This window comes from Homo sapiens, chromosome 1 (genome assembly GCF_000001405.40).
Source record: "Homo sapiens chromosome 1, GRCh38.p14 Primary Assembly".
NCBI lineage: Eukaryota > Metazoa > Chordata > Mammalia > Primates > Hominidae > Homo > Homo sapiens.
The window spans coordinates 17605247-17619143 of record NC_000001.11 but is presented as its reverse complement, the minus strand read 5'-3'; the positions used below and the strand labels follow the sequence as shown (position 1 = coordinate 17619143).

Below are 13897 nucleotides of genomic sequence, written 5' to 3'. Positions count from 1 at the left end.
ACATTCCATCAGTGAATAATTGTGAGCAAGTGAGCGAGAGGGTGAACAGGCAGAAATCAAAGCTGCGTCCTGTGGGGCCTGGGTTCTCGGCGTCCATGCTGCCAGAAGCCACTGTCCCTGCTCAGGCCCGCCCGCTCTGGCCTGGCGAAGGCTAGCTGCCCATGTCCCCATCACTAGGAACTAAAAATAGTTTTCTTCTGGAAGTCTAAAAGGGGGAAGAAAATAAGCCCCGAGAAGAACAGGGCAGCGTGGTTTGGCACTTTCCTTTTGAAATAAAACATGCAGAGCTAAAGGGAAAAAGTTCAACAGGAGCCTGACATGGAATCCCAGGAGTGAGTGGAGCTGGACCTCAGACGGAGGACGGAATGAGATGGACAGAGGCCCAAGCCTCTGAGAGTGGGAGGAGGTCAGATAGTGAGGGAGGCTCCGGAGAGGGTTCCAGCCCCCAACAGAGCAAGGTACAGGTGCCGGGAGAGGGGATCCCAGCTGCTGAATGGCTCTGACTCCAGCGGTGGCTGTGGGCAGCAGGAAATGGGAGCTGTGAGGAAGCTGGGGAGGAAAGAAGAAGCGGCAGCAACCCCAAGGGTGGGAGGGGGTAGAGACACCCCAATAGGCCCTTACCTGAGCAGGAGACAGAGGAGGAGGAGGAGGAGGGACAGCGGATGACGGCGTGGGGGTGGGGGTGGTGCAGACCCTCCTGCCGGGCCCACATCACGCCCCGGGCATCACTCCGCACCCACCCCAGCCTGCCTCGCAGCTTCCTCTTCCCCCACGAGCTGCTGGGTAACATTCTTGGCCTGTGATTCGAGCCCTGCCACGGCTATTAATATCGCCTCTGCAGGGAGGGTCACTTCAGGAAGGCGCTGGGCTTGTGGGCGGGGTGGGGAGGGCTGAGGAGAGCCCTAGCCAGCCTGGGGTTGGGAGGGTGACCCAGGAAGAGTTCCCAGCCAGCTGGCCTGGCCACGTTATCCTGTCTTCGGACCATCTCAATGAGTTTAGAATGGCCACTTGGCCTGCTCCCTCCATCATCGGGGGTCAGTGCTCCCCAAAATGCAGAGGGAACATGGACATTCACTGAGCACCCAGCCTGTGCCAGGCCTGTGCACACCCACTCTGGCTGAGCACCGCACCAAGTGCACGGGTGGGGCTCAACCCATGTTACAGATGAAAACCCATTTATGGTCTGCCGCCCCAAGAGGGGAAAAAGTGCAAGGCGACACAGCCAGAAAGCCGCAGAGCCAGGGTCTGAACAGGCCAGCACGAGGCCGTCCTGGCACCAAACGCCTCCACTTAGGGACTGACCGCCCACCAAGAATAACGTCTGCTACATGGGGCTCTCTCTCTCCTCATACTACCTAGGACATCCTCACCACAGCCCTACAAGACAGACAGCCACCCCACTGTACGGATGAGGAAACTGAGGCACAGGGAGATTACAGAATTTTCTAGGATGACACAGGCTCTCAAAGTCCTGCCTGGCTCGAGGCCTGTGTTCCTTCTGCTGCATCAGGCCATGTGCCGAGGGCAGGCAGCAGACAAAGCCTCCTTCCTTCCAAAGAGAACTGGCATCCCAGAATTCCATCAGCTGTGAGCCCACTGTACTGGGATTCCTTGTCTCCTTGTCTGTCACCTCTAAAGATGTGAGATGGGCAGCAGGGGCCGGTCTTACTTGACCCTGTCCCACCAATGCCTGGGAATACATCAGGGGCCCTGACCTAGACATTCTCCAGAGGAATGGACTGGAGCCTGGTGGGGACCAGGAGCAAGGGTAGGCACCTGAAGGGGGCTTCAGGGGATCAGGGGCAGGACTCATATTCACAGCTGTGTCCCATGGCTTTAGGACAGTTCCTAGCACATAGTAGATGCTTAATAAAACTTGTCACATGAATGATCAATTGATCAAATCTGACCATGGGACGCTTCTGCGTAAAACCCTCTAATGGGGTTTATGCAGCATCCTTAAGACCAAAGGCAAATGCCCAGCAAGGCTGACAGAGCCTGTACTGACCGGACCCTGGCCTATCATGCCCGCCCTCACTTCCGCCACCTGAGGCCTCCTCTATCCCTTCCAGGCCTGTGTGTCCTCAGCCCTGACACAACCTCTCTGTGCCTATTCCCTCATCTGCTGCGTGGGAATGTGAGAGTTCTGTGCGCCTTGTGTGGTGAGGATAAGGATGAAGTGAGGAACTGTAGGCTCATAGGGCAGCACCTGGCACACAATAAATACTCAGTCAGTGCTGACTAAGAGCATCTCTGGAACATCTCGTACTTTCCCACATCCGGGGCTCTGCACACCCGCTCGCTCCTCTTCCCAGAGCACCCACTCCGCTCTGCCTGGTGACCTGTGCCTCCTCCTTCCCTGACCTTTCATCCCCCAAGTCCATCCTCATTTCCTCCATGCCCCCCAGGGCACCCCAGTGGACCACTTGTCAACCTGTCCTGTCATTTCCCATGCCTGTGCCTGTCTCCCGCGCTGTGCCAACAGCTGGCCCCAGAGGCACTGCTGATACATGCATCGTGGGTCCCTGCATGCAGCACAGGCTGTGGCGCTTAGTAGGATTCCGTAAATGTCAGCTGGTTGGAGAGATGGGTGGATGGATAAAGGAAGGAGGGAACAGGAACAAAAAAGATGAGGACAGGTGAGCCAGACAGCGCAGGGGGCAGGAGGCCAAGACGGCCGTGACAAAAGCAGGAGCAGGGACGCTGAAAGAAGAGGCCCAGCTCTCCCAGAAGGGACAGGCCACGCCTGCCAGAGGAGGGGGAGGCACACTGGGACCTACCAGGATATTTGGGACTCAGCCCCCAACCCCCACCACCAGAGGAACCATACGCCAAGTGGTACCCACCCAGCATGACCTCTGGGGTGTAAAGCAAAATCCCACCCTCCCCGACCCCCAGTCAGAGCTGGGCACCAGACCCTCCCGCTCGGGCAGCGCCTCACCGAGGACGTCCTTCCTGTGCAGGAAGGAGACTTTGCGCATCACGGCCATCCGTGTCTTCTCCAGCCCATCCTTGGTCCCGCTCTTGGCGGCCTTCATGAGCTGGGTCATCTGAGCAAAGGTAGAGAGGCTCATCAGGGAAGGGACGGCCTGGGATGCCTGCTACCGAGGGCCACCCGCCTCCCCAGGCCTCGGCCTGCAGAGATCAGAACCACCCAGACCCTTCCCTCCCAGGTCCGTGAGCAAAGGCCAAGGACGACAGTGGGGGTGAGAAGGTGCGTTCATGCCCGGGGATCTCCCTCTTTAGGGGCAACAGGAGGCTGTAACCGATTTTTTTCCTTTCAGGACAGACTATGTGAGCAGATTTCTAATCCAGGAGATGATGTGACCTGGTGAGGAGGGGGCCGAGGGGTGCTGGAGACCTGGAGCCCTGGGCCACCCGCCAATGGCATGACTCTGGGCACGTCACTGAACGTCACTGAGCCTCCATTTCCCCAGGCAAAACTGAGGAACAGCAATACCGATCCTTGCCAGGGTCTGTGAGCACCAAACATTCCGGGTCTGGGAAAGCTCCCTGAGCAGAAAAATGCACTCCACGAATGTTGAACATGACCTTAGGAGCAACTAAAGGAGGTGTGTGCACACCCCCATCCCATCCGCCAAACCCAGGTGAGGGACCCGTCCCTTGCCTCCCCCGAAACAGCCAGGTTTCTTACTGAGCCACCATCCGGGAAAAGGAGAAAAGGCTGAAGTTGCCAGAAAGAAGAGGCAGCTTCCTCTGGCAGTGGGGAGGGGATCCATGGACACGAGCGTAGCAAGCTAAGCAGAACATGAGACGTAAGGAGACCGCGTGCCCAGAAGAGGGAAGTGGGCATCCGAGGTGCTGGGGGAACCCAGGCCTGACAGAGCTGCTGTCCCCTCAGCCAGTCCTTTGTCCTCCCAAGCCCCAGCCCTAGCACCCGCATCTTCTCCAGCATACAGCAGCACCAGCAAAGAGAAGGCTCTGCAATGACAGAAACACTCTGTATCTGCCCTGTCCAAAATGGGAGCCACGGGCCACATGCGACTATTGAGCACTTGAAATGTGCTGGTGCGAGGAAGCACCCAAATTTCTAATTATATTTACTTTTAGTTAATTTCCATTTAAAGAGCCACGTGGCTATCATAATGGACAGTGCAGTCCTAAGAAAACCTTCTCCTTCCTAAAACTCTCTGCTGAAGGTGGGGAGCACTAATCTGCGGGGTGGGGTTGTCTCTGGTCTCTGCTCTATCACCTCCAATAACCCTTTGGTCCCCACTTAAGTATCCAAGCACTTCTTGGGGGTCTGGGCAAGGAAGGGTTGCTGAAAAGCCACCAGGTGCTGTGCATGGGGAAGCAGGGGTGGTGGCTTTCAAGGAACAAGGCTGACTTTCTGGAAGGAACCAGCAGCAGGGAAAAAGAAGGAAGTCCCCTGCCTGCCCTGCATTTCTACGGGACAATCCTAGAGAAGCTGTGCTTGGCCTTTTCTGGGGTTGGGCAAGGGGAGTAATCATAGAGGCCTTTGAGAATCTAACGAAAGGGATGGCATAGACGCTCATCTTCTTCTTGTTGGGGGGTGGGAGGAGGGGGTCACACCCTCAGAGATCTGAAACCTCTGTTCCAGAATCCAGTTCCTGTCCTGGCAGAAAGCCATCAGTGGTGCTGTCCTGCGAGCCCCCAAAGTGGTCTTTCAAGGGATCATCTGAGGCCCTTCTCTTGGCATTTTCCTGGGCAAAAAAGAACAGGCCAACACCCTAGAAGGTGTCCCCGAGTACACCTGCCGAATCCACCCATTCCCACAGTGTGTGGCCGAAGCGGGGGAAAGGCCCAGTCTTAGACTCTGCCCTTCTCTAGCTCTGGGCACCTCTCTAAGCCTTGGCTTCCTGAGAGGTTAGCCCCGCCCCTACCCTGGGTTGCAGGCCTCTCGCGGGTATCTGTGAAAGGTCTCGTAACTGTAAAGGGTCTGCTCTCCTCCTCCTGGAAGGCTTCACATTCCAATAAAGCGGGCAGCACTGCAGGATGGAGGACGTTTGAGCTCTGGCACACTGCAGACCCAAGTTGGAATCCCAGCTCTGTCGTGAACCACTGCTGTGGCCACTAGCCGGGTACTTGACACTAAAAGATGCAGAAAGGCAGCTACTGCCCAGAGTGCCACAAGGACAGGGCGGTCAGGCATGTAGATAACAACAGCCACTGTCCACTGAGCTTCTAGACCCAGCACAGCACCGTACACCCAAGAGGCCTGATCGTTGACCTTCAAAGCCACCCTGGGGGCTGGTACTGTGAATGCCCCCATTTCAAAGGCAGGGAAACCGAGGCTCAGAGAGGCCAAGGGGCCTGCTCAGGATCACACCATGAGGAAGTGGTGAGATTGGGATTCAAACCAGGCCCACAGACCTCGAAAGTCCATGCCTTTAGCCAAGACACAGAGCAGGTGCTCAGTTAATGGAAGCTACTGTTGTCGATATCATCATCCAAAAGTTTAAGCAAGTACTGTGATTTCTCCTACAGACTTCCTTATCCTGGATTCCTCTGAATAGTGTGGAGAGATAGGAACATCCAATGTCAGCAACACTCACGTTTTTCAATGTGTAACCCCAACTGTGCAGATTATGAAATGTGCAGATTCCTGAGCCTCGTCCCAGACCTACGTAAGTGGCACCCTTGGGGCTGGAACTCAGGAACCTGCATTTTTAACACAGCACCCCAGGTGATTGCAAGGGTCCTAAAGTTTGAAAACCCTCCTGGGAATTCTTGTGGACTATCAGGGTTTCACTTGCAGGTGGGGAGAAAGATAGGGGTGAGAACATGGAAGGGAACATGTGGCTTAAGGCATCTGCCAGTTCCAGCACAGATGCAAGGGTGGCCAGGGTCCAGGTCTCAGGACAGCCCTGGGACTCAAGGGTGGGCCTGGTAGGCTTCGTGGTACCAGGGCAGCAGGAAAACCCTTGGAGGTAGCTGCAGCTGGAAACAGCCCCCATCCAGGGCTTGAGGGGACAGACAGACAATACCTTACAATCGTACTTGTGCTTCAGCTCCTGCATGTCTCTCCCCCCAACTCTCAAAGCCAAGATGTCTCTCTTAGTCCTGGCGTATCTCTCCTTTAGCCTAGTCAGGTCTGGAGAAAGCTGGAGCCCCAAGCGGCCAGGCAGAAGGAAAGCAGGTGAGAGGAGCAGGCGGGACAGGAAGGAGACAAAACACAGACAACAGGGGAGAAAGGAGACTCAGGTAAAGTGCGGACGGACAGCTCGGGCAGGCGGGATGCGGCACCCCAGGTCCCAGGCAGCAGTCCAGCCAGATCCTGCCCGGAATCTGCTCCAGCTGTGTCCAACCCCACCATGCCAGGCAGCTGGGGGCCGGGTCTCTGCAGCAGGGAATCTGGGCTGCTGGGGCGGAGAGGCGGGAGGGGAGTAAATCCAGGTCTCCTGTCTTAGGGAAAAGGGAAAATGCTCTGAGGGCAAGAACTGTGTCTTCTCCCCGGCCCTGTGGCCCAGCACAGGGCTTGTAACATAGGAGCTTCTCTGTAAGTTTGTGAGATAGACAGATGGCAGGTGGATGGATAGATGGAATGAGGTTGGGGGATAAATGGATAAGTGGGTAAATCCACAGAAAGATGAATGGAAGGGTAGAAGAAGAGTTTGGCAGATGGATGGGCAACAGACAGGCAGGTGGATGGGTAGACGAACAGGCTCATAGAGGGATGGATGGATGAATAAATAAATGGATGAATGAATAGATGCACAGATAAATAGATGGATGAGCAAATGGATAAATTTGGTTAGGTGACTATATAGCTGGGCAAATGGACAGATGGATGGATGAAGAGACAGTCAGATGAAGGAATAAGAGGATGGATGGACGGTAGGAGAATGGATTCAGGCAGTGCTGTGCTGGCAAATATTTAACAACCAGTTCTGCAGGAAAAAGGGCCCTGCTTTGAAGCATTTCCATGGTGTGAATACTTCCACCAATTCCAAGCTACCAAAGTGACATCACTGAATGGGAATTTGTAAAGAGATGCTCATAACTGGCTCCTGAGTTCTTGTGAGCTGACACTAGCTGCCTCTGGCACACTGCTGGAGAATGAATGGAGGGAGGATGGGTGAAGGGTAAAAGGGAGGGAGGGGGATGGGCAACTGGATGGAAGAATGGATGCTCAGCTTACAGACTATCTGGAGGATGGATGGATGGATGGATGGATGGATGGACAAACCGATGGGAGAACAGGTAGATGGACAGAAGAACAGATAGATATTCAAATGCACGAACCATATGAGCAACAGTGATATTTGGTAAAGTACACAAAAGACCAAGACAGGTGCTACTTCTAGAGAAGTAGACAGAAGGATCAAGAGTGTGAGTTCTGGAGGCATGTAGGCTCCTGCTCAAATCATGGATCTCTGCTTACTAGCTAGAGAAGTCTCTTTACCTGAGCTGCAGCTTCCTCACTGGTAAAGTGGCCATAATAGTAGCTACTGCATAGGGTTGTTGAGAAAATTAAATGTACATGCAAAGCCCAGAGCTTATTAAGTATTCAAAAAATGGAAGCCATTATTATCTTTTAAATTGCAAGTGCTCAATATTTGTTGGATGGGTGAATGGATGAGTGGATGGATGGATGGATGGATGGATGGATGGATGGATGGATGGATATACAGACAGATGAGGCACCTGTGATATTGCATTCTACATCATTTAAGTCTCTCTGAGCTTCACACAGGTTTTCTGATCAACAAAATGAGAATCTTAAGGACAATAATACTGACCACTTAGGGTACTGGGAAAATTAAATGACACTGCTTTGTAAAGTGTACCATTCTAGGCAAATGTTCAATATTGTTATGCAAAGAAGTATGCATGCAGGACAGGGGTCCCTCTGAGAGCTACCCAGACTCCCAAAAAACTGAGGAGTTTGGGGTTTGACCTGAGTCCTGTTCATCCATAAAATAGTTTCACATAATAAAACCATAAAGCCCCTGGGCCTTCTGGTGCTCCATCACTTCTCTCAGGGTCAGAAGAACTAGGAAATGTTAGGATCAGAGGCCACTTGCTGAGTTGGCCAGATCAGAGCAGGGGGTAGACCAGGCTGGGCCAGGGCTGGCGTTTCTGTAATGAATCCATGAGTTCTGCCCAGTCCCCGTCCAGCTGGATCAGAGACCTTGATTTCAAAGAGGTCACCACTGGAGAGTGGGAGAGTTCAATGCAATCCATCCCACAACTGGAAAAAAAAAAAACCACAGATCCTGGATTGGCACCAGCAGGACCACTTGTTCACATAACAGGATGAGGCAGCTGCTTCCACTTGGGTCCGTGCCCCTCTACAGACCCCATGGTCACTTTTTTTGGCAAGAGTCCACCTGCCTAGGGACGGCCTCTTCGGATCTCTGAAGAAGGGGTTCCATTAGTTCTCTTGCAGCTGGGCAGGGTGCCTGGCCATGGTCAGTCTCCAAGAACAGGACAAAACACATCCCCAGACCCCTGCTGTCAGCTTGTGCCCACAGCACACACAGCACATAGCCAAGCAGCAGTGGCCCTAAAACATGCAGCTGCTGCAATGCCAGCGGGTGAGCAGGTGCGCCCCAAGCAGCTCAGGAGGGTGAAGCACCACAGGCAGGCTCAGTAGAGTCCCTGGCAGAAGTGGGTACCAGAGGAAAAGCCCTCCGCAACCTCCTGTCTCCCTAGGAGCCTGCTGATCAGCGAGCAGGTGGGCCTTGGCCACGGCCAGAGAAAAACTCCAAGTGGTTAGAAATCCCAACAACTGTGCCACATAGTTTTTCTGCTGAGGAAGGGTCCAAAGCCCCCAGCCTGAGAGTGTGAGGGACACGAGCTCACAGGCAGCCCCCAGAGGTCCCAGGGCCAGGCCATGGTGAGTACAGCCCAGCATTTCTTGGAGTGCTCTGTGGGCCCCTTATACCCCCTGGGGGCAGAGAGCTGCTTAAAAGGCAGATTACCGGGCCCCACCCAACCCCTGAATCAGAGTCCCTGGTGAGGCCCTGGCATCTGTGATTCAATCAGTTACCCATGTGGTTCTGATGCCCGTGGAAGCATGGGGACCACCGCTGGAAAGCCTGAATTCAGCATTGTCATCCCTCCTTCCCTCTGAGAGACACGCATGGTTTCCTCCCAGTCCCAGCAAGAGGGCCGGGGACAACATGGGAGAGGAGGAGGAACGCCAGAGGCTGAGGCTAAAAGGCTGGGCCAGGACTCGAGAGCCCCATCTGGTCACACTGCCCAGAGCAGGGCTGGGACGCACGGGTCCTGCCATATGGAGAGGCTACTGGGGGGAGTGGGGGCTTCATAACCAAAGCCCCCTTCCCTAAAGCAGTGCATGCTGCCCCTTCTGAACTGCAGGAAGCAGCAACGAGCTGTTCCTGGGCTTCTGCCTGGGCCGCTCCTCCAGCCTGGATCACCTGTCCTGTCTCCTCTAGCTCCTAAGCCCAGCTCCAACTCACCGCTCTCAGAGGCGTCTCTGATTGGTCTCATCAGTCCCTACCCCTGTCAGGCACACAGCCAGGCTGGACACAGGCTCATGTTTACGTAAAGGCATTTTTGTCTTCATTATGTTTTGAAGGGCATGATAGTTTAGCTTTGAAAATTGTACCACACTGATCATGATGACCAGCATTTTGTGTTCATTTTTGACAAACTGTTTCCCATTCAGTGTCTCCTATGGACCGTAAAGGTTCACTGAGCACAGATTAGGTCTTCCTGTTCCAATGTATCCCGTCCCACAACTGAAGATATGGACTAGGCACACAGTAGGTGTTGTAAATGCTTCGCTTTTTGGCTAGCAAGACATTAAGGCTGTTTTCCACAGCCCACCCCTGGAGGCCCATCCCTGGAAACAGCAGGCTGAGAGAGACCTGCTCAGTCCCAGGCTTGCTCAGGACTCAGGGAGCCCATCTTGGTCTGAGGAATGGCTGCCTGAGGACTCAGGTGTGGGTGTTCCTCCGGCCAGCATGCCTCTCCCAGAGTGGATCCCCCAAGCCCAGAAAAGGTGGGAGGCACTGGGAAAGTCCCCTCTCTTGTCCCCACCCTGCCCATGCAGGAATGGCCCCAGGTGGAGCTCTCCCGCCCCGCTACATCTTTTAAAAGGAGCTTGAGGCTGGGCATGGTGGCTCACACCTGTAATCCCAGCACTTTAGGAGGCCGAGGCAGGTGGATCACTTGAGGCCAGGAGTTTGAGACCAGCCTGGGCAACATGACGAAACCCCATCTCTACAAAAATACAAAAATTAGCCAGGCATGATGGTGCACGCCTGTAATCCCAGCTACCTGGGAGGCTGAAGCAGAAAATTGCTTGAACCCAGGAAACAGAGGGTACAGTGAGCCGAGATAGGGCCACTGTACTCCAGCCTGGGCGAAAGAGTGAGACTCTGCCTCAAAAGAATAATTAATAAAAATAAACATAAAAGTAGCCTGAGAGGGACGCCATCCCCTCTGCTCAGTCAGGGCCTGTAAGAAGCTGTCCCCATGAAACTGCAAATCTCAGCACGGACAGACACTGCCTCTTGGTGGCTTCCGCAGAACAACAGGGAAGGAGCATGGGTGCCATGGGAAAGAAGGAACCAGATGACCTATCCCCCTCACAGCCTCAGGGGCTCCCCTCCAGGAAATAAGCAGAATGGTCTCTACTCCAGGCAGAAACACGAGGAAAGCTGAATGCATGGATGGCACCGTGTGAGGCCCTGGAGAGAAGGCTTCCAGGCCGCTCTGGCTTAGCCACAGCAGCCCCCACTCTCCACTGCCCCAGAGCAGAGAGGACTGCGCGGGCTGAGGCCTGGTCTGAGCATCAGTCCCAGAAGGCGGGGAGAGCAAGTGGATCTGATCCAGGCTCCACCTCTAAGCAAGTGGCTGGGCTACCTGGAGTGCGGCGTTGAGAGGACTCTGAAGCCCAGTCTGAGCCCGTGAGCATCAGGATCAATTGACCAGGTCTGCCATAGCAAGGGGGTGGGGGGAGCACCTGTGCCAGGTACCAGCCATGCCCATCCCGGGCTTAGGGCTGCCAACAGCAATGTCTACGAGTCACCTCCTGTTTCGGGATGACCTGGGCTTCTGGCTCCCCTCTCACCACACATACCCGGGAATCCCTGGGACCCAGACGTGAGTCCTAGGCCTGGCCCTCACTACCCAGCTCCCTCCCTCCCTCCCTCCCTGAAGGGGTCTCCGTGCCCTGACTGAGGTGAGCGACACCCCCGGTCCCCTCACCTTGGGCTGGAAGGACACTCGGTGCTTGGCGGGCTCGACCTCGACCTCCGGCTTGGCCTCCTCCCCCGAGTCCTCGCTGTAGCTCTCGAACTCACTGGAGCTCCAGCCTAGGTCCTCCGCCTGCCGAGGGGCCCCAGCCCGGTGCGCATCCTCGTAGAGCAGGTTCCTCTCTGCCCCTGCTGGCCAAGCGGCAGCCGGTGAGCCCAGGCCCTGAGGCCAAGCCTACCAGACTTCCAGCCTCAGACCCAATTTCTGAACCCAGGTGGGGCGAGGGGGGGTCAGGGAGAACATGGGGGCCCTGGGGCTCCAGCTCTACCTCCTCAACCATGAAACGAAGATGATAATACATTTTCCCCCTCGTAGGGCAAGGAGGGCCTGAGAAAATGGGGAAAACCCAAGAAATGGGTCAGACGTGCACAAGCCCGCTCACTTCCTTTTGCTCCCAGCACTGCTTTTGTATGGTCTCAGCGCTCATTGTGAGCCTCCTTGGCAATTTTGTTTTAGAGACAGGGTCTCATTGTCTCGCCCAGGCTGGAGTGCAGTGGTACAATCATAGCTCACTGTGGCCTCAAACTCCTGGGCTCAAGAGATCCTCCTATCTCAGCTTCCCAGGTAGCCGGGACTACAGGTGTGCACCATCACACCCAGCTAATTTTTTAATTTTTTGTAGAGACGGAGTCTTGTTATGTTGCCCAGGCTGGTCTTGAGCTCCTGGACTCAAGTGATCCTCCTGCCACGGCCTCCCAAAGTGCCAGGGTTACAGGCGTGAGCCACCACACCCAGCCGAGCCACCACACGTGGCCTGTTTCTTACTGGAAAAGAGAAGACCCGGAGCCAAGTCCTGGCTCAGGCCCTCAGCATCCTCAGGAATGAAACAGAGATTGTTGGGGCCTCAGGGCTCCTCACCCCAAATCTGACTTCACGTGCAGCCTGGGATCTTCCAGTAGGGGGCGCAGCTGGCCCAGAGTCCAGGAGCTCCTTTCCTTCCTAAGCCTGCGGGAAATGCCTTGGACTGAAAACTTGGGGACAAAAAGCTAAGAGTCTGGAGGGACAGGTCCCACAAGGGCCAGGGCACTCGTGGGGCCCATTCAACTCGGCTATGAGATGCCACTTGAAGCCTGAGGTGGGAAAGCCACTGTCCCGAGGCCGGAACACAGGGTCCCAGCCCCAGCTCCGTCACTGGGGGATCTTGGGCAAGGCCCTTTGCCCCACTGGGTTTCATTTCTTCATCTGTTACCTGGAGAACTGCAGACCTCATGAAACTGGGGTCAGACGCCAAAAAGTACATGAAGATGAAAATGCTTTTGTCATCACAGAAGAAATATAGCATTGGGAAGGGTTTTTTTGTTTTTGTGTTTTTTTAAAAAAAAAAAAAAAGGAATCTGACTGGTCGCGGTGGCTCACACCTGTAATCCCACCACTTTGGGAGGCTGAGATGGGTGGATCGCCTGAGGTCAGGAGTTCAAGACCAGCCTGGCCAACATGATGAAACCCCATCTCTACTAAAAATACAAAAACTAGCCGGGTGTGGTGGCACGCACCTGTAGTCCCAGCTACTCAGGAGGCTGAGGCAGGAGAATTGCTTGAACCCGGGAGGCGGAAGCTGCAGTGAGCCGAGACCGTGCCACTGAACTCCAGCCTGGGTGACAGAGAGAGACAACATCTCAAAAAAAAAAAGAAGAAGAAGAAGAAGAAAAGAAATCTGCTCAGAAACGACTGTGCTGAAAAACTGCGAGCTTTGGTCATCAGAGACCTCTCTGCAAAATGTGGCTAATAATAAGTGGACAAGTTGAGTAAATAAAACAGGCACGGAGCTCTTGGCAAAGTGCCTGACACATAGCACGCACTCGGCTGAGAGCAGTAGGCCGTCACTCATGGTGGCTCTGGGGGAGCTTGGGTGTCAGTCCATAGACCCAGGGCCCCCCAGCTTCACCCCACAGGAAAGGTGGGGTGCGAGAGGTTGGGGGCAAGAGTGTCAGCCAAAGAACAAAACAGATGTGCCAAAGCTTAGTGGGAGACGGGTCCCAGAACCAGGAGGGAACATGAGGCTATTTTTAAGCAAAAGATAATAGTAACTAATGTCTTTAGAGAGTGGAGCAGCTGCGACCTTCAGAAGGCCAGGCTGATTGTCCTGTTATTGCAGTGGAGGCCCCTGAACTAGTGGCCAAAGAGGCAGAGTTCTCAGGGTAGCCCTGAGGAGGAACCCTGGCAGCATGTGGCAGGTCCACGCCTCCACAGGGCTGAGCCGTGCACCCAACCACCTCCATCCTCGGTGTGCCACGGCTCCCAGCGGCCCTGTGCAGACAGCAGGGTGTGAATGATCACTCCTCCTATTAGACAGATGGGAGAGATGTGGCTGGCCACAGTAAGACAGTGAACGGGGCCAGGGTTCTGTACCACCTTCCGTTGAAGTCCCCGCCATCTACACATATAGAAATATCCTCTCCAGTGGAGACAGAGTCACAGAACTCTTGTGCCTGTGTGCAGCCCGAGGGCCAACTCCTCAGCTTTCAGGGACCACATAAGGGTCCCCTCATGCTTCCTGCTCAGTGTCCTCATCAATTACCTCATGGAATCTACGCTACCACCCTAGGACTGGCTATTATTGCCCCAGTTCTACAGATGGGTCAACTGAGGCCCAGAGAGATTGGTCAGGACCCCGTGTGACCCTCCCCAAAGGCCTGTGAGCTGGGGATTTTCCTGCTTTATGTGAAGAAGCCAAGGCACAAAG

The 13897-nt window shown here is 54.8% G+C and overlaps 1 protein-coding gene across 43 annotated transcripts in view, besides 3 other annotated features; it reads right to left on the bottom strand.

Annotated features, from left to right (window-relative positions):
* ARHGEF10L (Rho guanine nucleotide exchange factor 10 like) overlaps positions 1-13897 on the bottom strand; it is a 184441-nt gene that overhangs the window by 78732 nt on the left and 91812 nt on the right. For 24 of the 43 annotated variants that reach the window (XR_946686.4, XR_946691.3, XM_024448061.2 and 21 more), the window contains 2 exons: positions 11167-11345; positions 2942-3050 (listed from right to left, as the gene is read on the bottom strand). Coding sequence is in view for 39 of the 43 variants with exons in the window: in XM_024448061.2 (XP_024303829.1) it covers positions 2942-3050; positions 11167-11345 (288 nt within the window). In the remaining 4 variants the exon portion in view is untranslated. Of the gene's footprint in view, positions 1-621; positions 832-2941; positions 3051-5969; positions 6087-11166; positions 11346-13897 lie in introns of those variants that run through there. The other 19 variants (NR_137288.2, XM_006710731.1, XM_047424111.1 and 16 more) reach the window with 5 other exon arrangements.
* Positions 2253-2754: an enhancer, noted in NCBI's record as "H3K27ac hESC enhancer chr1:17942885-17943386 (GRCh37/hg19 assembly coordinates)". NCBI's record gives its function as "activates a minimal SCP1, AML or CMV promoter by ChIP-STARR-seq in naive H9 embryonic stem cells {active_cell/tissue: H9 hESC(naive)}" and the evidence as "EXISTENCE:reporter gene assay evidence [ECO:0000049][PMID:30033119]".
* Positions 8330-8831: an enhancer, noted in NCBI's record as "H3K4me1 hESC enhancer chr1:17936808-17937309 (GRCh37/hg19 assembly coordinates)". NCBI's record gives its function as "activates a minimal SCP1, AML or CMV promoter by ChIP-STARR-seq in naive H9 embryonic stem cells {active_cell/tissue: H9 hESC(naive)}" and the evidence as "EXISTENCE:reporter gene assay evidence [ECO:0000049][PMID:30033119]".
* Positions 10730-11258: an enhancer, noted in NCBI's record as "H3K4me1 hESC enhancer chr1:17934381-17934909 (GRCh37/hg19 assembly coordinates)". NCBI's record gives its function as "activates a minimal SCP1, AML or CMV promoter by ChIP-STARR-seq in naive H9 embryonic stem cells {active_cell/tissue: H9 hESC(naive)}" and the evidence as "EXISTENCE:reporter gene assay evidence [ECO:0000049][PMID:30033119]".